The following is a 22,722-nucleotide window of genomic DNA, read 5'->3' on the forward strand; positions in this document are numbered from 1 at the left end:
CGTTTTTATGCAAACTCAAAACCTTCCCAATGGGGGGAAGAGGGAGTCAGAGTCTGGCAGTATTTAAAATCTTCCTATCCAAAATTTAAAATACTACCCAATAACTTATCTACCCCCAGTGACATGGTGACCATGCAAGGCAGTGTTAGCACAAAAATTAGAATGGGGACAAGACAGGGTATGCTTTTTAAAGTGATGAAGGCTTAAAGGAAAAAAAAAATGTGAAAATACTGATTGATTTGTTTACTTGTGAGAGTGCTTGTGTGTAGAAAGTGATAAAGACATGGTGAGTGACCTAGAACAGGAGGCAAAAAGGGCAACTGATAGACTAACGCAAAGTAGGATGGAACAAAATATTCAAGAACATTAAAACATGATTACATAGTCCAAAGATCTACATCTGCTAAGCTCCTGTGCATTTTATTATATGTAATAGGTTCAGTATGTTATTGTGTGCACTTGGGAAAGTCATATAAGTTCTCTGTAAAATAAAATGACCAAACAAGGGTTCCTCCCACTTTAAAAATATTTCCATGATTCTACTGTGCATAGAAAAAAAATGCATACATTTTTATTTCCCTCGGGGAGTATTTTAAACTTAAGTAAGTCTCTTTCCTTTGGGAATGAAGGCGATAGGCCCGGCGCCGTGGCTCACACCTCTGTAATCCCAGCACTTTGGGAGGCCAAGGTGGGCGGATCATGAGGTCAGAAGACCCAGACCATCTTGGCCAACATGGTAAAACCCCGTCTCTACTAAAAATACAAAAATTAGCTGGGCATGGTGGCGTGCGCTTGTAGTCACAGCTACTCGGGAGGCTGAGGCAGAAGAATTGCTTGAACCCGGGAGGTGGAGGCTGCAGTGAGCCAAGACTGTCCCACTGCACTCCAGCCTGGGCGGCAGAGCAAGACTCCGTCTCAAAAAACAAAAACCAAAAAAACAAAATGAAGGTTATATCAATATCAAAAAAACGAGTTTGCAAACTTTTTATTTTGCTTCTAAAAGTAGTTGTACAAAATCCTCCTACCTGTGCATGGAAGAGTGATAAGCTCCTGACAGTGTGTAAAGGGATCAATACTTTCACCAGAAACTGTTTGTGTTCTGCCTTAAGAGGTAAAGCAAAGCCATTGATAATACTAGGGAGAAAAAAGAGACACAAATTAGCAATGTTACCACAAGTTGAACTGAGACAAACTGTTCTTGTGATATTAATTAAACTTAATCAGTTTGTTTGTACAAAACAACATAATACCCACCCCAGTGGCATTCAGAATTTCCTTTTTTTTTTTTTTTTTTTTTTTTTTGAGACAGAGTCATCTTGCTCTATTGCCCAGGCTGGAGTGCAGTGGCCCAATCTCAGCTCACTGCAACCTTCGCCTCCGGGATTCAAGCTATTCCTATGCCTCAGGCCTCCCAAGTAGCTGGGATTACAGGCACCCACCACCATGCCTGGCTAATTTTTTTGTATTTTTAGTAGAGAAGGAGTTTCACCATATTGTCCAGACTGGTCTAGAACTCTTAACTGCAAATGATCTGCCCACCTTGGCCTCCCAAAGTGCTGGGATAATAGGCGTGAGCCACCACACCCAGCCAGGATTTCTTAATGACTTCAAGGAATACAAAAAGTTGGAAGGAAATTTAAGAGAAGAAAATTTGCTTCTGGTCACCCAACAAAGGCTCCTGTGCTCCTAAAATTAGTCAGATGGTTTCCAAAAGCTCTTTATCAAAACCCTTTATTTTCCCTCCCTTTTCCTTCTCCAAATAATGGCCCGCCTTGCTTGCTTCCGCCTTAAATATGACCTTTTCCATTTCCAGACATCATTCCTTCTCATTCCTGAAACCTCTGCCCAGCCTAGGGAAATCACTGAGAGAAAGCCATGTGACTCCACCTTCTTTTTCTCTTCATATTAGGAGAAAAGATTAAGTAATCATATTGTCCAGCTACATTATCCTCCCTTGTGTGTAGAAACTTACACCACAGCTCTTTCCAATTCATTCCACTACTCCAGGCTGCAGCTGTTCAAGGACTATACCTGGATACACAACTCCTTTGAAAATGGCAATCTTTCCAATTTATTATAAACTTGCTTTCAACAGATAAGGCAAAGGACCAGATAGCCTAAAAACTAATGAGAATAAGATGTTTTGGAGTAACTAGCCTGACCACAATTAGATGTACCATCTTTCTAGTAATGAATGAACTGTCAGCTCTTTCAGTCATTCCAGTGGAAATGGCAATGCATACTTGTGGAACAAGGGGAACAGGAAATTGTGTCTTGTAGAGTCAGCTGGAAAATATGCTAATAGGCACAAATGAGAGAGACCCAATGTACATACAGCAAGAGAACTAGGTGAGCATCTCTTGGTGCCACCTGAACCTAATTTTTAAAATAATATTCATCTGAGATTAGCAATTAGAAAAACCGTGCTCACCTTCCTAATATTTCCAGCAGTTCAGCTACACCATTGAAGTGTTCTGTTTCATAAACAAACCTGAGAGAAGAGGAGAAAAGGGAGGAGAAAGGAGGAGAGGAGGAGGAGAAGGAAGGGATAAAAAGAGGAGGAGGAGGAGGAGAAGGGGGAGGAGGAGGAGAAGAGGAGGAGGAGGAGGAGAGCGGGGAAGAGAGGAGGAGAGGGAGGACAAGGGGGAAGAGAGAAGGAGGAGGAGGAGGGGGGAAGAGAGGAGGAGGAGAGGAGGGGGGAAGAGAGGAGGAGGAGAGGAGGGAAGAGAGGAGGAGGAGAGGAGGGAAGAGAGGAGGAGAGGAGGGAAGAGAGGAGGAGAGGAGGGAAGAGAGGAGGAGAGAGGGGAAGAGAGGAGATGGGGGAGAGATGGGGGAAGAGAGGAGAGGGAGGAGAAGATGGGGAGAGAGGGGGAGGAGAGGAGGGAAGAGCGGAGGAGAGAGGGGAGAAGAGGGGGGAGGAGAGGGTGGAAGGGAGGAGGAGCAGAGGGAAAAGGGAGGAGGAGGGGGGAAGAGAGGAGGAGACGGGGGAGAGATGGGGGGAAGAGAGGAGGAGAGGGAGGAGGAGAGGAGGAGGAGGGGGAGGGGGAGAAAAGGAGGGAAGAGAGGAGTCGGGGAGGAGAGGAGAAGGGGGGAAGAGAGGAGGGGAGCGGGAAGATGGGGGAGGGAGAGGTGGGGGAAGAGAGGAGGACAGGGAGGAGAAGAGGAGGAGAAGGGGGAGGGGGAGAAAAGGAGGGAAGAGACGGGGGAGGAGAGGAGAAGGGGGGAAGAGAGGGGAGGGGGAAGATGGGGGAGGGAGAGGTGGGGGAAGAGAGGAGGAGAGGGAGGAAAAGAGGAGAAGGGGGAGGGGGCAGGAGAGGAGGAGAGCGGGGAGGAGAGGAGGAGAGGGAGGGAGAAAGGAGGAGGACAGGGGATAGAGGAGGAGGAGGAGAGAGGAGAGGAAAAGAGGAGAGGAGGAGGAGATGGGGGAGGAGGAGAAGGGGGAGGAGAAAAGCAGGGGAGAGGGAAGAGGAGGGGGAAAGTAGGGGGAGAGGAGGGATAGAGAAGAAGCAGTGGGGGGAGGAGGGAGAGGAAGAGGAAAAGAGGAGGAAGAGGAGGGTGGGAGGAGAAGATGGGGGAGGAGAGGAGAAGATGGGGGAGGAGAGGAGAAGATGGGGGAGGAGAGGAGGGGGAGGGGGTAGAGGAAGAGGCAGGAGAGTCAGTAGAATGAAGGAAGGCAGGCAGAAAGGGAGAAAGAGAAGTCAGTACACCGTTTTCAGATATTTGAGATTTACTTAATACTCATAAAAACACCAACTTTGCTTCTCCTTCTTCCCCCATCACACTCCACTTACCTTAGAAAAATATTGTTAATCTGTTTTCGGATAAATGCTCTAAGACCAAGAAACTTGCCATAAATTCTGTGTAAGACTGTTTTTAAGTAGTCCCGTTCCCGAGGGTCTTCGCTGTCAAATAGCTCCAGAAGCTGTTGTAAATGAAAGACATTATAGCTGTCAAAGGCGGTTTCAGAAAAGGATTTAGGAATTCTATTATTTAAAATCCCCTTCTTCCTTCCTCAAAAAATGTGTTGAATATCTATTATGTGCCAAGCACAGTGCTAGTCTTTGGGCATATCATGATAAACAAGTCAGACAAGGAGCTTATATTCCACTAAAGAAATACAAATACAAAATAACAACAATAAAAGTAATAATATGAATAATAGCTAATACACATATGGCACTTACTGTGATCATCAGGCAATTTTCCAAGCAATCTACATATTAATCCTCCCAATGAGATAGTTTTGTCCCCCTTTTACAGAAGAGGAAACTGGGGCACATAGGGTTAAGTAACGTGCCCACGGTCTCACAGCTAATAGGTGGTAAAGCTAGAATTTGAACCCCAGCAGTTGAGGCCAAAAGTCCGTAGCTCAACCACTGCACTATGCTACCTACTGATATTCCAAATATGCAGTTAAAATAAGCTGACTGCCTGTGGTGACTCATGCCTGTAATCCCAGCACCTGGGGAGGCCAAGGCAGGCGCATCACCTGAGGTCAGGAGTTTAAGACCAGCCTGGCCAACATGGTGAAACCCCGTCTCTAGTAAAAATACAAAAATTAGCCAGGTGTGGTGGCGGGCACCTGTAATCCCAGCTACTCAGAAGGCTGAGGCAGGAGAATCACCTGAACCCAGGAGGCAGAGGTTACAGTGAGCTGCGATCGCGCCATTGCACTCCAGCCTGGGCCATAGAGCAAGATTCGGTCTTTAAAAAAAAAAAAAAAAAAAAAAAAAAAAGGATAAGCCTTCAGCTCTACTAGAACATCTAGGAAAATGAAAAAACCTGAATCAAAACAAACATCAAAATGTCTCAATGATACTGGCAATGGTCCTTTTTAGATCCAGACTCTTGTTATGTAGGTGTGCTCACTCTGTAAATAGTCAACGAAGTGAACATTGATTATTTCTGTTGTATGTTATATGTGAATAACTTTTTTTTTTTTTTTTTGAGATGGAGTATTGCTCTGTTGCCCAGGCTGGAGTGCAGTGGCACGATCTCAGCTCACTGCAACCTCCGCCTCCTGTGTTCAAGCAAGCAATTCTCCTGTCTCAGCCTCCTGAGTAGCTGGGACTAAAGGCACCTACCACCGTGCCCAGCTAATTTTTTGTATTTTTAGCAGAGACAGGGTTTCACCATATTGGTCAGGCTAGTCTCAAACTCCAGAACTCAGGTGATCCACCCACCTCAGCCTCCCAAAGTGCTGGGATTAGAGGTGTGAGCCACCATGCCTGGCTGTGAATAACATGTTTAAGTTCCCAAACATTTGTAATCTAAAGTTAATAACCAAATCCTGATAACATCACATCTACATGCTCAAAATGAGGTCCACGCAACTAGTCCAAAAGAGGTAACAAGCTAAAGTTTCAGCCAAATGCCAGTGAGCACAACAGATTCAACTCAATCTCTATCAAAAGTTCTAGCTGCTTTGTTTTTGTATCATTGACAAGTTGATCCTAAAATTCATATGGAAATGCAAGAGAACCAGAAGAGCCAAAATACTCTTGAGGGAAACAAAACTTGAAAGATTCACACTTCTCTATTTCAAAACTTAGTCCAAAATACCAAGACAGTGTGGTACTGGCATAAAGACAGACATACAGATTAATGGAATAGAATTAAGAGCCCAAAAGTAAGCCCTCACATTTATGGTCAACTGATTTTCAACAAGAATGGTCAATAAACCATGAAAAGTGCTCTATTTTATTGATCATTACAGAAAAGCAAACCCTGGCTCACGCCTGTAATCCTAGCACTTTTGGAGGCCGAGGGGGTAGATCACGAGGTCAGGGGTTTGAGATCAGCCTGGCCAACATGGTGAAATCCTGTCTCCACTAAAAATACAAAAATTAGCCAGGCGTGCTGGCACATGCCTGTAATCCCAGGTATTCGGGAGGCTGAGGCAGAAGAATTGCTTGAACCTGGGAGGTGGAGTTTGCAGTGAGCCGAGATCGCGCTGCTGCACTACAGCCTAGGCAACAGAGGAAGACTCCATCTCAGAAAAAAAGAAAAGAAAAGAAAACCCAACCAACAAAGAGATACTCATTGGATGGCTATAATGAAAAAGAGGGATAATAAAAAGTGTTGGCGAGGATATGGAGAAACTGGAACCCTCATACATTGTTGGTAAGAATGTAAAATGGTGCAGCTATTTCAGAAAACAGTTTGGCAGTTCCTTAAATCTCCCACAGAGTTACTATATGACTAAGCGATTCCACTTTCATGTATATATCCAGCAGAACCGAAAACACATGTCCACACAAAAACTTGTACACAGATGTTCATGGGAGCAATATTCATAATAGCTAAAAACTGAAACAACCCAAATATCCGTCAACTGATAAACAAAATGGGATGCCATGGAATATTATTCAGCCATAAAAAGGAACAAAGTAACTGATACATGTTACAACATCAATGAATCTTTCAAACATCATGCTAAGTAAGTAAAAGAAACCAGACACAGAAGGCCATACAATGTATGACTCCATTTATGTGAAATAAGCAGAATAGGCAAATCCATAGTGACAGAAAGTAGAATGGGGAGTGGCTACTAATAGGTCTGGATTTCTTTCTTTTTTTTTTTTTTTTTTTTTTTTTTTTTTTTGAGACAGAGTCTTGCTCTGTCACTAGGCTGGAGTGCAGTGGCGCTATCTCGGCTTACTGAAACCTCCGCCTTCCGGGTTCAAGCGATTCTCCTGCTTCAGCCTCCTGTGGGTCTGGATTTCTTTGAGGGATGATAAAAACATCCTGCAATGATACTGTGGTGATGGTTGCATGACTCTGTAAACATACTAAAAACCACTAAATTGGAAACTTTAAAATGGTGAATTTTATGGTGTATGAATTACAACACAATAAATCTGCTACCTTTACAAAAAGTCAGTGTGCAAGTTCCTCTGGCTGAAGAACAAACTTGGAAATTGGTTTGAATGTTACTGAGTTGTTTTTTTTAACATTCATCATCATTGCAATAAAGCAAAATTCAGTTCTAGTGTCTTTACAGCAAAACATTTCAAGAGCACATAACACACAAATTAGACTACCATCGTCATCAAAAAGGCTATCCAGATATATGTAAGTTTGACCTCAGGTGATTTAGACATGAGGTTGACACTGACAGCAGAATAAAAACCTCATGGTCAATAATCGAATGTGCTTTTGTTCGGTGTTTTAATTTGAATAAAAGACAAGAGTTATGGACCAAAAAAAGGCCCCTCAAACATGGCAGGAAACGCAAACTAAAGGATGGTCTTCAAAAATAGGTAGAGACAGGACACAATTTTTAGCTACATAATGCCATCCACCATCCATCTATCATTCATTCATCTGTTCATTTTAAAAATGAGTATTTCAAGTAAATATTTATGGTGTGCTTATTAAAAGCCAGCCAGTGGGCGAGCTGTCAGGGATACAATGATAAGCAAGACAGATACAGTCTTTGCTTTCTCAGAGCCTATTCTAATGGGGAATACAAACAAGTAAATAAACAGCATGTTAAGTAGTTCAGGATGTTGTATAAATACACAGCAGACACATCTACTGTATTTGGAAGAAGTGGAGTGATCAGCAAAGGCTTCTAAAGGAAGAGACATCCAGGCTGACCGATGAAGAAATGAGGAGTTAGAAGTGGGATATGAGTGCTCCTCACAGGTTCAATAGTACATGCTTTTCCTAGCAGCCTATCCAAACAGAAGATGTTGTTAACTACAGCTCTCTGCCCATTCAGCAATACAATAAATACATACGTACTGAGTTCTTTCTATGTGCCAGCGATGGTCCTCATTGCTGGACATACACATTGTTGAACAATTTTGGAGCCCATCAGGGGAGGTAATGGGCAAGTTAATACATTTCCACAGGAAAACATTCTATCTAGGAAAGAAAGGCATGTGGCCCCAACCAGCCAAAAAAAAAAGGCCCCATATAGACTCAGTATCTCTTTATCTATAACATGTTCCAAATGACATAAGACCTCTAATCCACCTACCCAATCCACCCATCCACCCATTCCCATTCCAAGGTTAATAGAAATAATTAACCTTGTAAGTTTTATTTTTTAAATTTCGTTTCTACTTTTAAGTGTTTCAAAAGGCTTTAATGAATAACTTGTAACCAACATAAGAGAAGGTTTGAGGGTGTGTAGTATTAGCAAAACTTGAATCAACCTTCCTTGTATACTGTTAATCTTGAGTTTAATGAATACACAATAATTAAGCAAGAAATGTTTGATGTTTTCATTAGGCTCTCAACAAAATGCATTGCCGAGTGCCTAACTTTAGATATTTACAAAGCCACAAATATTAAATGTATCATATTCTATGAGAAAGATGAATTGCAGTATTAAACTATTTTTCTGCTTCTCTGTAGAGAACATGCTTTTGATGATTTTATGATGTATGAGAGAGAAATATAATAGTGCACAGGCCAAAACAAGGGGGGGTAGGATGAACTCTGATGAGCTCTGATTTCCAAAACAAAATAATATGAGTGTGCTTAGTCATATCTATAGTCCCAATCACTCCCACACAAAAAAGAAATATAATCCCACACCTGTAAATGCCTAAGTGGACTGTGCCATCCCTAATATAACAGGTAGCTTGTAGTCAAAGAAAAGAAGTTAAGAAGCTGGAGCGTTTCCAAGGTGATTACAGAGCAAAGACAGACCTGTCAACATACTAACTCCAGGTTTACAAAAACCAGCCTTCTTGAAGCTCACAAATAGGGTTAAACTACATAGTGATTTAGCCAAATAACCTTTCTTTGAACTTCATAAATCTACAATGAAATGAGAAGAGTGAAATGAAAAAGGGCTGTAAGGGTCTTCCAGCTAGGCAGGGGGATTGAACCTCTCTCCTCTTGAATCCTCCCTAAAATGACAGTGAAAGAATAAGAATAGAAGAAAGCCTTGGCATAGACAGGACTGGAGAGAAAATTTAGACTTATTTGTAGACTTCTCAAAGATGGAAGTGGATGACAAGAGGTAACTATCTTAAGTTTCCTCTTTCTCCAGTCTGCTAAGTGTTTTTCCATTCTGCAAGCAGGGAAGAAAGCCAACGAGAAGCAGGCCAGTTCACACCACGGAACCCTTACAAGGCTTAAAAACTAAAGGCACCAGATATATTTGATGGTAAGGGTGTGAGAAATAGCTAAAAACAGGAGGACTGGTTGAAAGTCTGTAGAAGACCCCCCAGATCCCTATCCCATGTGGTGTATTGATGATTTACAATGTAAGTCTGGAGAGAATGAGTAAGTATCTAATCTTGGAGACATCATACACGTTAAGTAAAGCACTTATTGGAAATAATGGGATGAAATAAAACTCTGCATACCTAAAAGTGACATATTTGCCAGCTTTCTTCCCTGACCAGGCTCCCAATTCTGTATAAGTCAGAAGATCAGAAAGTCCCTTTTGGAAGAAACTGACAGCCTCAAGAGGAAAGACCTACAGATATGCTAACAGCTGAGGGTTTCCTAATGAAATGGCAAGGTCCCTGACCAGTTATGCCATTCAAAGTCACCAGTTGCCAAGTGTCACCATGCAAATATAAACACACATGTGCACACGGTAACATACACAAGTTCTAAGCAACTTTTCGGTAGACTAACATGTAATTATGACTATGAAGTCAAAGATCACCAGATATTTTAACATAAAAGACCACAACAAACAATTATAAGGAACTCAGAGGAAACAGGCACAATGCTAGGAGTACCAAAAAAAATTGCAAGAAGGAAACTATTAACATCTTCAAAGATAAACAAATATGCTGGATCCTTGAAATAAAACAGTGCTATTATTCAGGTGGATATTCAGGAAATTTTTTAAAAGCTTTTAGAAGTTCAACATATAATAAATAAAAATTTTAGCAGAAGCACTAGAACATTAAAATGAGCAACTCTACCCCAGAGCATATAACCAAAAAACAGAGATAATATATAGAAGAAGATTTTAAAAACCAGAAGATCCAATACATAATAGCAATCCAGAAAGACATGGAGACAGAAAAACAGAAAATGAAGAGAAGGAAATTATCTGAAGAATAATTCAATTCAATTTCCAACAAAAAAAAAGTCATCAATGTCAATATAGATATGGTCCATTAAGTGTTCTGCACAATAAATGAACAAAGATCCACACCAAAGCACATCACTTTCTGGATGTGGAGACAAAGAGAAGATCTCAAAGAAGATACAAAGAAGACAGGTCATTATAAAGGATAAGGCATTCACCTGGTGCAGGCCTTCTTAATACCCACACTGGAAGCTGGAAAACAATGGATCAATTCCTTAAAACATCTGGGAAAGTTCCAAATTTACACTTAGCCAAAATGTCAATAAAGTATGTAGGCAGGCAGGGCACAGTGGCTCACGCCTGTAATCCCAGCACTTTGGAAGACGAAGGCGGGCTGATCACTTGAGGTCAGAAATTTGAGACCAACATGGGCTAACATGGTGAAACCCTGTCTCTACTGAAAATACAAAAATTAGTCTGGCGTGGTGGCATACACCTGTAATCCCAGCAGCTGGAAGTTGCAGTGAGCCAAGATCGTGCCACTACACTCCAGCCTGGGCGACAAAGCGAGAGTCTGTCTCAAAAAAAAAAAAAAAAAAAAAAATGTAGGCAGAATAAAGACGTTTTCAGACAAGTGATCTCAGAACACTTACATCCCATTCATGCTTTCTTAGGAAGAATCTAGAAGATATGCTCCACCAAAGAAGAAGTTAAACAAGCAAAGACACAGTCTAGAAGGGCACCAAAGGGAAGTGCTGGGATGACTGTGTGGATGGCCCAGAGTGCCAATTAGAGCAGGATGACCAGGGCTCCAGGAAGAAGGTCTCCAAGAAAAAAAAAAAAAAAGTAACTGATAGACTAGTTGATATGTGGGCCATACTGAGAAGGGCTGTATGGTTACTCTCAGAGAATTAAAGCACACACTAGTGATGAATACACAGGAAAGCAAGTAAAAAAATAAGGCACCTATTTTCCAGGGTTAAAAAAAGAAAAAAAAAAGCTCTACAAGAAAACAAATGTAATTATGTGCCTTGGAATGAACAACATGTATACAATAGTACTCATCTATCATGTGATTCATTCAAATTTTGTGATATAACAAATGTAGAGAGGGAGTTATAGTGGGAGATACATAATGGCTTACAGTAGGAAGTCAATAGACATAAATAAAATCTAAAATCACAAGTTAAAAAATAGCAGTATAAGCATGCTGTTTAGAAATATGGAAATAAATATACAGAAACAACTGGAAGACTTAAGTGTGGTTACTTCTAGGAAATAGGACTCTGGTTTGGAGAAAGATGAGGCAAGAGACTGCTATTTTTCATTAAAAATCATATAAACATATTGGAATTTTAAAAGTAGGCATTATCAAAACTATTTTTAAAAGTCATTAAGAGCAAAAGGTTTCGAGCAAAACAACCCAGTTGCTCTCTGCTATAATAAAGAATTACCCTGCCCTATTCCATGTAAAGTAAGATTTTAGAGAACATCAGAATTCTTCAAATAGATAACCGATAAAATTGGTATTCTAAATGTTTTCATCCAAAGTGCCACAGAGCACTAAAATCAGATGTCCACATTTCTGGCTTTGTTTGCAACTTTCTCCTACTACCTGAAAACTATCTTCCTCATACTTTCACCTTGGCCAAATACAGAGAAAACAGCCCAGAACAAAGAAACCAGAGCCAAAGGTAGTCTGACTCCAGTGAATCAGAACGACTCAAGGGATGCACTGTATAAAATGAAGCAACCTATGGGGCAAATACTGAGAAAGGACAATGGGGACAAGGCATCAAAAGGTTGCGATCACAAGCTTCTGGCAATTCTGACTCCAAGACTCCTATGGAAATTCAATACAAAACTTTCGAAAGTGTAAGGCGTACAAATATGAACAACTCCACCAAGTCACACGCTTTTATTTTCCTCCATTTAATTTCAAGCATTCTTTCCACAAACCAAAGAAGTCCATTTTTTTCCCCTTGAGCATACTATCTATTTCAAGACAACCTTGTGATTTAAATTTTTAAGACAACCTATTTGGTCAGCAATTCAAGAAAGAGCTATTGTGCTAAATAATGATGCACTTAGTGGGAAGCAGGCAGGGACTAGCTACATAATTTGTGGGGCCTAGTGCAAAATAAACATGCGGTGGTCCCTGCTCAAAAAGTATTAAGAGTTTCAAGACAGCAAGAGCAGAGCACTAAACCAAGCACAGGGCCCTTCTAAGCACAGGGCCCAGCACAACTGCACAAATTATACAACCAGGAAGCTGGCTCTGAATGCAGGAGTCAGAGCAATAAAGCCCTTTTTACAAGATTTTTGAGTTATACACTGGACAGGACAGGATGAAGTGATGTTAACTGGTAATTGGCAATGGCTATCTCATAAAATTCCAGGTAGAAATAAATGCTCCCAACACTTACTTGCTATAGGCTGTGAGAGAGAAATGTAAACATTTTGACATATTCAAGGAACTCGTTTGGAAAATAGTTCTTTGTATTGGAGCTGAGATTCAAGGCCTTGTGGAATTTATTTCAGTTTAGAACTAAAATTTTTTTAATAGGTTGGTTTGTGTCATGTCCAATTTGTCTTGAGTTTTTAAAAACACAATAACAAAAGGTCACTTTTAAGGACAGGCTGAATGATTTGCATGATCTGCATAATTTACATGATAATTACAGTACCTTTCAGCTAAATATAACAGCAAATGTGAAGTACAAATTACTAAATAGCAATCTCCAGCAGTACATATGTTTACGGGGATACTTGAATAGTATGTCTCTCAGCAACCACTGACTGTTTTTCAGATTTGCAGAGTAGTTGAAAGTAATCTTTAGAAATATGTTGCTAAACTCTTGCCACAATAATCCACCCAATGAAATAATCGAAGTATTGCTAATTCATTTAGGTCTAAAGAAGGGGTTGGGGGATCATAAAGAAACCATTTTCCCAACCATCCCAATACAGATGAAAATTATCTTTATTAAGAATAGACAAAATTGTTCCATAAAGCCTAGGCAAGTCTACATAGTCATAGCTCTAGAAGGCAGTTAACCAAGTTACTTAAGTCTGAAATCAACATTACCACAGACAAAAGTGCACTATGCAATGAATGGACTATCTTTGATAAATCTCTAACAGCTTTCTTGTCCAAACACTTAAGTGAGTACACAAAAAATGCTACAGGTTATGTAAATCTAGATTTAATAAAAATCACACTGAAATTCAAGTGAGCCAGTCATACTATTCTAGAATAAAAAACAACAAAACCCTTCAAACAAAAACATTCAAAACCCTTGAATGAAAAACGACAGACTGTTGGCCAGGCGCAGTGACTCACGCCTGTAATCCCAGCACTTTGGGAGGCCGAGGCGGGCAGATCACGAGGTCAGGAGTTCAAGACCAGCCTGCCCAACATGGTGAAACCTCATCTCTACTAAAAATACAAAAAATTAGCCAGGCATACTGGTGCATGCTTGTAGTCCCACCTATTCAGGAGACTGAGACAGAAGAATCACTTGAACCCGGGAGGCGGAGGTTGCCGTGAGCCGAGATCGAGCCACTGCAATCCAGCCTGGGTGACAGAGCTAGACTTCATCTCAAAAAAAAAAAAAAAAGAAAAAGAAAAACAACAGACTGTTTTGTCTGGCTCTACCAAAATATGGCTTTCCAGCTTCTCTTGAAAAGCCAAAAGATCTAGCAATACTTGGCTCACTTACCTAGAGACCAACCGTTACTGGGAGCGGATTGGCAGCAGGATCCAAGCTCTCTAAATCGCCACAGTTTCCATCACTCCTTTGGTCATACCAACACTACTTAATCATGTACCATTTGTCTGTCCTCTGTAAAGATTTAAATGGGCTATCCCTGGTTTTCACACATTATAAATTATACGTTCCTGGCACTAATAAACATTTATGTTCAACACTGATTGGAGGAAATCAGTTGGCAAAGTGGAACTGAAGAGAATCCAGAGACACAGGAAACCCATGTAACATCTTAAGAGAACCCAACAGCCTGTGAAGAACCATATACGTAGAGTTGAATGGATACCAATGATTTTTAGAATAAGAGTTGGATTTCAAATAATTCATAACATGCTAGGTAAGACATGACAGGCTAACACTATATGATTTCATGGACTGAAGCTATTAAAGAAAACAGAGCTTAAGAAAGTTCTCAAAACAAGAATCCTAATAAAAATATTAGTGACACCACCAGCATAACGTTTACTGAATATGAACCATGTGTTGGGAATACTTCTGAGAGTTTGTATAGGTATTTAGTTGTTAAATCTCCACAACAACCTTACAATGTGATTATGATATTTTGCATCTACTTTCTAGATGAGGAAACTGAGGCACACAGTAGTTATGTCACTTGTCCAAGGTCGAATACAAAAAAAATGGCAGAGCCCGAATTCAAATCAGTCTGTACACTTAACCACCAATCTATACTGCTTCCTGATAAGGAAGAAAAATTCAAGGTATTGAAAAAGGCACTTGAGGCAACACAGGAAGCTTTCATTTGAGCTTTAGATTTTCAAAGGGCAGATACAAATGGTGAAAGGAAGGAAGCAACGAATACTGGGCATAAAAGAATGGTGCTATCATACAAAAATAGTCTTAGGAAGGCTAATGCACAAAATCAGCTGAGGTTTATGAAAAATGCAAGGCAATAAAATGAGAATGTACTTGCAGATGAAATTTTTTATTCTTATTGATTACAACATATATGCTTATTTTTTTTATATAAAAAATAGAGATATCTAAAAAATAGGAAGTGAAGATCATCACACATAATCACCCCCTTCCAGCCAATTAACAACAATTTGGTAGAACTCCTTTCAAAATTGTTAATGCATATTGCTATAGTCTGAATGTGTCCCCCAAAATTCGTGTGATAAAAATTTAATCTCCAATGAAACAGTGTTGGGAAGTAAGGCCTTTTGGTGTTGAGGTCATAAGGGCTCTGCCCTCATAAATAGATTAATGCCACTATGAAAGGGGATTTGGGACATGGGTTCACTCTCTCTCATCCTTCTGCCTTCCACCATGTGAGGGCACACCCAGTAAGATGACACTCGTTAGATGCCAGCACCTCGATCTTGAACTTCCCAGCCTCCAGAACTGTAAGAAATAAACTTCTGTTCTTTATAAATTACCCAGTCTGAGGCATTTTGTTAAAGCAGCACAAAAGAACTAAGACAAAAATACTAACATTATTTTTCCCTAAAATAACAGATACAGGCTCAAAAATTATACTGTTCTATAACAATGCATGTTTCACCTAAAATAGATCATTGAGTAGGTCTATCACATTCTTTTTACAAACTGATGAATATTTCACTATATGAATGTCCACAGTACAATTACCTCCTACTAAGGAACTTTGAAGTTATTTTCCAATTTTCTAATAATTATTAGCAATGGTGCATTCAATAACCTTTGTATATATATCTTTTGTACATATCTGATTATTTCTCACAGAATTGTTGGGTCTAAATTTAAGTTGATAGAATACTATCGGTTTTCTCTTCAGGACAATTATGCCAATTTAACGTATATGTGTATATAGCCATCTATTCATATATTTATTCATTCGTTTATTTGGTACATCTTCTTATGGGTTTTATGGCACGCTCAGCAGGGTCATCTCCACCTAAGGCGCTATTATGTTCCATTCTACTGTTCCAAAGCCATACTGTTTTAATTAACTTACCTTTTCCTTTGTAGTATATTATTTAATAAGTACCATATCATTAGTCATCTTTTTCAAAAATTTATTTCATAACTCTAAACGTTTCAAGTTTTTAAAAAACTAATTTTAATTAGAACTGCACTAATGTATAAATAATTTGGAGATTATATAGACATCTTTCTGATGGTGAGTCTTTCCATCTAGCAATATGCTACATTTCTGCATTTATTCAAGCCTTCTTCAACTTTCATATATATTTTTAAAATTCTATTTCAAAAAATGAAGATTTTAAAATTAATACTGGAAGCCAGGCACAGTGACTCGCCTGTATTGCCAGCACTTTGGGAGGCCAAGGTGGGCAGATCACTTGAGTCCAGGAGTTCAAGAGCAGCCTGGCCAACATGGTGAAACCACGTCTCTACCAAAAATACAAAAATTAGGGCCGGGCTTGGTGGCTCATGCCTGTAATTCCAGCACTTTGGGAGGCCGAGGCAGGTGGATCACCTGAGGTTGGGAGTTTAAGACCAGCCTGACCAACATGGAGAAACCCCGTTACTACTAAAAATACAAAAAATTAGCCAGCCGTAGTGGCGAGTGCCTGTAATCCCAGCTACTCAGGAGGCCGAGGCAGGAGAATTGCTTGAACCCAGGAGGCGGAGGTTGCAGTGAGCTGAGACTGTACCACTGCACTCCAGCCTGGGTGACAGAGCAAGACTCTGTCTCAAAAAAACAATCAAATAAACAAAAAATAGCTGAGTTTGGTGGTGCACGTCTGTAATCCCAGCTACTCAGGTGGCTGAGGCATGAAAATCACTTGAACCCGGGAGGTGGAGGTTGCAGTGAGCTGAAATTACACCTCTGCACTCCAGCCTGGGCAACAGAGCAAGACTCTGTCTCAAAATAAATAAATAAAACTAAAATTATTGGAATCAAGAAAAATAATACATTCTATCAATGCGGGCAGATAACATATGAGGGGGTTGTGAAAAGATGAATTAATATTTAATGAGCAACTACTATGCCCCATAGGTGATACCAGTAGACATTTTTACAAGTCATCTCATTTTATCTCATAACAAGCCTACTTGCTGTGACTTGTTGTGATAGGTGATCTTAATGTCATTTTATAAAAAACGACACTGAGGCTCCGAGTGGTCAATAATCTGCCCAAGGTTTTCAGTCACCTGTTTAAGATTGAAGGCAGGGATCCTGTCTTTGTATCCACACTGCCAAGTGAACTAAGCAGATTTGACAACTGTCGATTTTGACGTGTCTCCTGTTTTACTTAACAGTATCTCATTTATCCTGTTATCCCATGTCATGAATCAGGAAATTCAGGCTTGGACAACAGGTATACAAACTTGCTGAAAGTCATACTGCAAGTAGGCAGAGAAGCCAGAGTTTGTATGCAGTTTCTTCTGACCCCAAAGTTCACATTCTCAGCTCCTAAAATATACTTACAATATATAGGGAAGTCAAGATTCAAACCCAAAGCTTCCTAACTTTCCACTACGTCATAGTAAAATAGCTCAATTCCTATTTTGCTTTTGTATTCACTGACAGAGGAATGACAGTCAGAAGACTGACTGCAAAGAACATATTCAGCTGCTACAGAAAATAAGTTGAAATCTCATGGATACAATAAATTCTGTCTAACTGAAGAAAGAAATTTTAAGCTGAGATTACCAAGATTCTTTTTTGAGACCACTGAAAACCCACAGAAAATAGAAATCTGCCCAAAGAAAAGAAACAGGGTAAACGTCATCCTGATTTGTCAAAAGGAAAAGGATGTAGGTTTCCATGTCATAAGAGAAACACACTAGGAACAGGTGGCACCATGGGAGACGATGGAGTTCAGAAAAATGCAAGGACAAGCGGGGGTGTGAAAAAGACCTGACTACCGAGTGCAGAGGTTAGAAGGACCTGTCAATTCAAGGACAGTTAAGTCACAGTGGGAAAGAGGAGGAGGAATGAGTGAGACGGGGGATAATGGGGTAAAATATCAGCATCAATCCCTCAAGCCCCAAAGGCCCACCCACTCCCCAGCAGAACCAAACTGGCCAGGAAGGGATCTCAGGAGAACCAGTTAAGAAATTAAGGCCCCCTCTTAGAAGGCACCGGGAGCGAAGGTAAGTCATCAGCAGACTAAAGGGTAAGGAAAAGGACAGGAGGCCAACTTACAGATTACCAACATGAATGAGCAGGGTATTCTGGAAAATGGGAGCTAACAGGTGCCCAGGGCTTATTCCCAACATGGCAGTTAATGCACTGATTAGTCAGATGATTTCATTCAAGCTCTCAATGGTGGTGCTGATTCTGCCAATACCCCTGCTTGCCACTTTCACAATTCATTCAGGAACTGGGGTGAGCCCTGGTGTGAAGGTCAAATTTATAACAGATCCAGCAGATGGAAAGTAAAGAAGGCAACAATTGGAAAAATGAGGAAGGGGCTGAAAACATAAAGTATATAAATGAACTTCACCACTGACACTTTATTTCTTGTCTCTGGCAAAATTTTAGGACAGATGAACAAACCCATGGTTTGCAAGCACTTAGGGCAGGATCATCAGTAAACAGCACTAGCTCTAGACGTTCACTAATACCACATGGCAGATAAATGGCATTCCTTTTTATGATAAAGTTACAAGGCCTATAGATGACAGTAATGCTATAAACACAGAGTCCTGGCTTTTACCATAGCATCTAATAGTCTCTATGTTCTCCATACAACCAAAATTAAGAAATGCAGGAAGGATGATAATATACTAGTAAATTTCTGGATCAAGGATAAAACTCAAAGATTACTGATTAATGATGAAGCTGTGTAATATAGGGAATTTCTAAAGGCTCCTATCTCAACCCTGGCTAGTTTAACAACTTTTTCTTTTTTTTAAAATTATTTTTATTTTTATAGTTTTGGGAGTACAAGTGCAGTTGTGTTACATGGATATATTGCATTGATATAGTTTGGTTTTTGTTCCCTCCAAATCTCGTGTTGAAATGTGATCCCCAGTGTTGGAGGTGGGGCCTAGTGAGAGGTATCTGGATCATGGAGGTATGGAGGTGGGTCCCTCATGAATGGCTTGGTGCTGTCCTTGAAGTAATGAGTGAGTTCTCACTCTATTAGCTACCGTGAGATGTGGTTGTTTAAAAAAAAAAAAAAAAAAAAAAAAAGCCTGACACCTCTGCCCCCTCTGTCTTGCTCCTCTCTCACCACGTGACACACATGCTCCCCTTTTGCTTTCCACCATGATTATAAGCTTCCTGAGGCCCTCACCAGAAGCAGATGCTAGTGCCATGCTTCGTGTACAGTCCGAAGAACAATGAACCAAATACACCTCTTTTCTTCATAAATTACCCAGCCACAAGAATTCCTTTACAGCAACACAAAATAGACTACTAGAAGCATGGCAGTGAAGTCTGGGCTTTTAGCGTACCCATATATAATAGTGTGCACTGTACCCAATAGGTAGTGTTTTATCCTAGTTAAACAATTTTAATCAATGACTTAGATGAGGCCGATAGCATATTTAGGTTACAGATGTCATAAAGATGGAAGACACAGTGAATAAGGTAGATATGAATAAGGGATAAATGATTCCACAGGAACATATGCCAAGTACTACACTTAGATAAAAAAGCCAACTGTGTAACAACCAACAATAAGCCAGGCATGGTGGTGCACACCTGTAGTTTCAGCTACTTGGAAGACTGAGATGGATCACTTGAGCCCAATCTGGGCAACATAGCAAGACCCTGTTTGTTTAAAAAAGGGAAAAGAAGAGAAACATGCAGCAATATGCAGAAAGCTCAATTAGAAGCCAGCTATAACCAGAAGCTTAACATAAGTTGGCAATGTCATGCTACAGCAAGAAATGCTCATGAGACTTTTCCTTTAAGAAACCTAAAGTCACGACAAGGGAATGAAAAAGCCAACTCTAAGCCGCACTGGGCTGACCAGGCTCAGGGCATTCTGTTCAAATATAGATGTCATATTAGAGGACAAATGGACACAACCAGGATACTGAAGGCTTCAAAACTAACAAATGAGAGAAGGTTGACAGAACGAAGAACTCGGTCTAGAGGAGAAAATGCATACTGACAGCTGGTAGGCTAGATCCAGAAGGCAAATGGGCTAGTTCATTCTGTACAAGATTTTAGTAATACCAGAAAACTTCACAGAAGAATCTGGATTTCTATTTATCTTGGGGATTGGCGAGGAGAAAAGTCTGGGGATAACTGAATGAAGAGGGGTAGCCAAAGCCCCATTTAATAGGAACCAGTCTACATCCTATTGTCTGACCCCTGGCTTTCAGACTTACTATGTATGAGGCTATGAGCATTTGAATTGCAACCACTGTTATAGAGAAAAAGAGTCAAAGGGTGAACACAAAAGCTGTGTTCTAAGACCTGAAAGGTTATGTCTGGGCTACAGATATACTAAGAAATTATTCTGGGGAGAATAAAGACAAAGGGTACAAGGCATAGAGAGGTTCAACATAAAAAAAGAACTTCCTAACAAAAATGGAACAAGCTACCTGTGTATATGGCTTTTCTTCACTGAAAAAGGGTCTCAAAGGAGACTAATTTGCTAAAGAACTAGAATACATAACCCAAAATGTCCTTTCCAAATCTGGGTTTCTCTGATGTTTTCGTATTATAAGTTTCATTATCTTCAGTACTGTCTACCATGGACAGCACACTGGGCTGAGCCCTGGATGTTTTTGTGTAAGAAAAGCACTGGCTTCATAGTAAGACCATAGGATTTACTGATTCCATGTCAACTAAATACAGGCTCTAATAGAGAATTACTATCTGATCCTCTTAGGCACATTAATTCACAAAAAATAGGAGAACCCTATTATTTCATTAGTCTTCAGATGTGAGGGCTACTTCTCCCTTGAAGTCACTCCAAGTTACAGTGAGGGAATCACAAGAAGGCATCACGGCATGATGGACAGAAATCCAGAATAGGAAATGTGCTTGAGCAAACTTGATAATCTTTCTAGACCTCAGTTTATGCATCTATAAAATGGGGCGGAGGGTGAGGGAGGGCATAAAAATTTAGTCATGACTACTTTACAAGACTGTTGTACAAATCAACTAACGCAGGCAAAGGTGCTCTGACAATTAGACAGCACTATATACATGCAAGGCTTTCCAATACAAAATGTAGATCTACTATGTATCACTTACATTTTTTTTGAAATAAGTTATGCTTCCCTGGCATAACAATCCATACCAATTTACCTATTTACCCCGTGATCCACGTATCCATCTATTTACCTACCTTTCCATCTCTATTTCAGACCTCACTTTTCCAAACCCTCTCATGTTAAAGTGTGAGCCAGGATTCACCAGTGTGGTACCAAAGTACTCTAAATGTGAAGTATTGCTCAAGGATCCGCCCCATGTACCTAGGGGAATAGGGTGTACAGGTACTAATGAGCCGCACAGGCAAGGCACCAAAGCTCCTTTCAGCTCTGAGCTGACATCTGAACTTTGGGTTTAATTCCACTTAGCCTTACTTAGGATGTAGAGAGGCCTCCATGCCCCTCAGCTCTCTGGAAGCTTGCCTGACCCTGTTGGATTGAACCCTATGAAACTGCTGTTTTGAGTGTCAAAAACAGTCAAAAAATTGGCTATGGTTCAACCTATATATCCTAAATTCCAAATGTATTAATTTAATTAAGGAGGGAAATGAGATCACAAAGGTTATCAGCCCCATCCCAGTAAGGCACAGGAGACCAATTTCCTGCCAAATTAATGTTTTACTTTTTATTTTATTTTTAGAGACAGGGTCTTGCTCTTTTGCCCAGGCTAGATCAAATTAATGTTTTAAATTTGAAATTCTTCTTACCGGCTTACTAGGAGATAAACATTTATTCTTTCCTACATTAGATGCCCCACATGTCACTCAGAAGAGAGCTACACCAGTTTGGCTCAAGCACCCATTTTTAGAGACGAATATATCAACAACAGGAGCAAGGAAGTGTTACCTAAAACTTCAGTGCCATGAAAGCACCCAAGTTCCAGGTAAAAAGGAAGATCCATTGTTATAACATGCACAATGAGGAGTCAGGAAAAAAGTGTTCCCGGAGATGTTCCAAATGGAGACATGAGAGTTAATCCCTTTAGGGAAATTTTAGAATGTTAAGCTATGCTATTTTCTAGCAGTGAAATCTCATCAGTACCCTGACTTTGATTATTTATTACAGGTTACTTATGCTTTGAAGTCTGAGCTTGCCTACTCAGTTTTAACAGATCTACACCACACTTCTTTAAGAATCCTTACGCAAATGTAAGTCTTTAAGCTATATAACGATTCCCACAAACCAAGGTTATATAAATGAAATTCCTTTATAATTAAATTTTTAGAGAAAACTGTAGGGATTTAGGCATTAGCATTCCTGGCTATTTAAAATGTAATTGATTTCTACCATAAATAAACTTAAATGTACCTATTACTTTTAATAGGCAGTAATGGAAATTAACTTATGTTTATATATATATATATATTTTGTGGGTGATATAACTGTCATTGCAAAACTTTTTTAACAAACATGAAGAGAAAATGAGATAAAGTGTTAACTGGATGACAAATACACACAACCACAATAATTTGCTTACCTGTAATACAAATTTCTGATCTATATATTTTTTGGCAATGCTGGGTTGGAATTCTTGGCTTTCCAAAAATCGTATGAAAAATTCATATACAAGCTGCAACAAACAGATTATAATTAATTTCAAATTATGACTCACTGAGAACAGTACTAAAAACCACCAAAAGCCTGTAACACTAAAAGTGACAGGGCTTAGAAAATTGATTTTAATATCAATCAACAAACCAGGCCAGCCTTTCTTGTGGCTCACAGTTGCTGTTATGCTTTCAACTTTTAAAATTTTAAATTAGAAAATACAACTAAACAAAGCAAAGAAAAATTTCCCATAATCTTGCCATTCAGAGACAACCACTGTTAACATTTCAATGTATATATTTCCTT

The 22,722-nt window shown here is 39.9% G+C and overlaps 1 protein-coding gene across 9 annotated transcripts in view; it reads right to left on the minus strand.

Moving 5' to 3' along the window:
• Nucleotides 1-22,722, minus strand: part of PPP2R5E (protein phosphatase 2 regulatory subunit B'epsilon) — a 172,014-nt gene that overhangs the window by 21,431 nt on the left and 127,861 nt on the right. For all 9 annotated transcript variants that reach the window (NR_104104.3, XM_047431543.1, NM_001282179.3 and 6 more), the window contains 4 exons: nt 22,346-22,438; nt 3,792-3,922; nt 2,432-2,491; nt 1,026-1,134 (listed from right to left, as the gene is read on the minus strand). Coding sequence is in view for 8 of the 9 variants with exons in the window: in XM_047431543.1 (XP_047287499.1) it covers nt 1,026-1,134; nt 2,432-2,491; nt 3,792-3,922; nt 22,346-22,438 (393 nt within the window). In the remaining variant the exon portion in view is untranslated. The remainder of the gene's footprint in view (nt 1-1,025; nt 1,135-2,431; nt 2,492-3,791; nt 3,923-22,345; nt 22,439-22,722) is intronic.

This window comes from Homo sapiens, chromosome 14 (genome assembly GCF_000001405.40).
Source record: "Homo sapiens chromosome 14, GRCh38.p14 Primary Assembly".
NCBI lineage: Eukaryota > Metazoa > Chordata > Mammalia > Primates > Hominidae > Homo > Homo sapiens.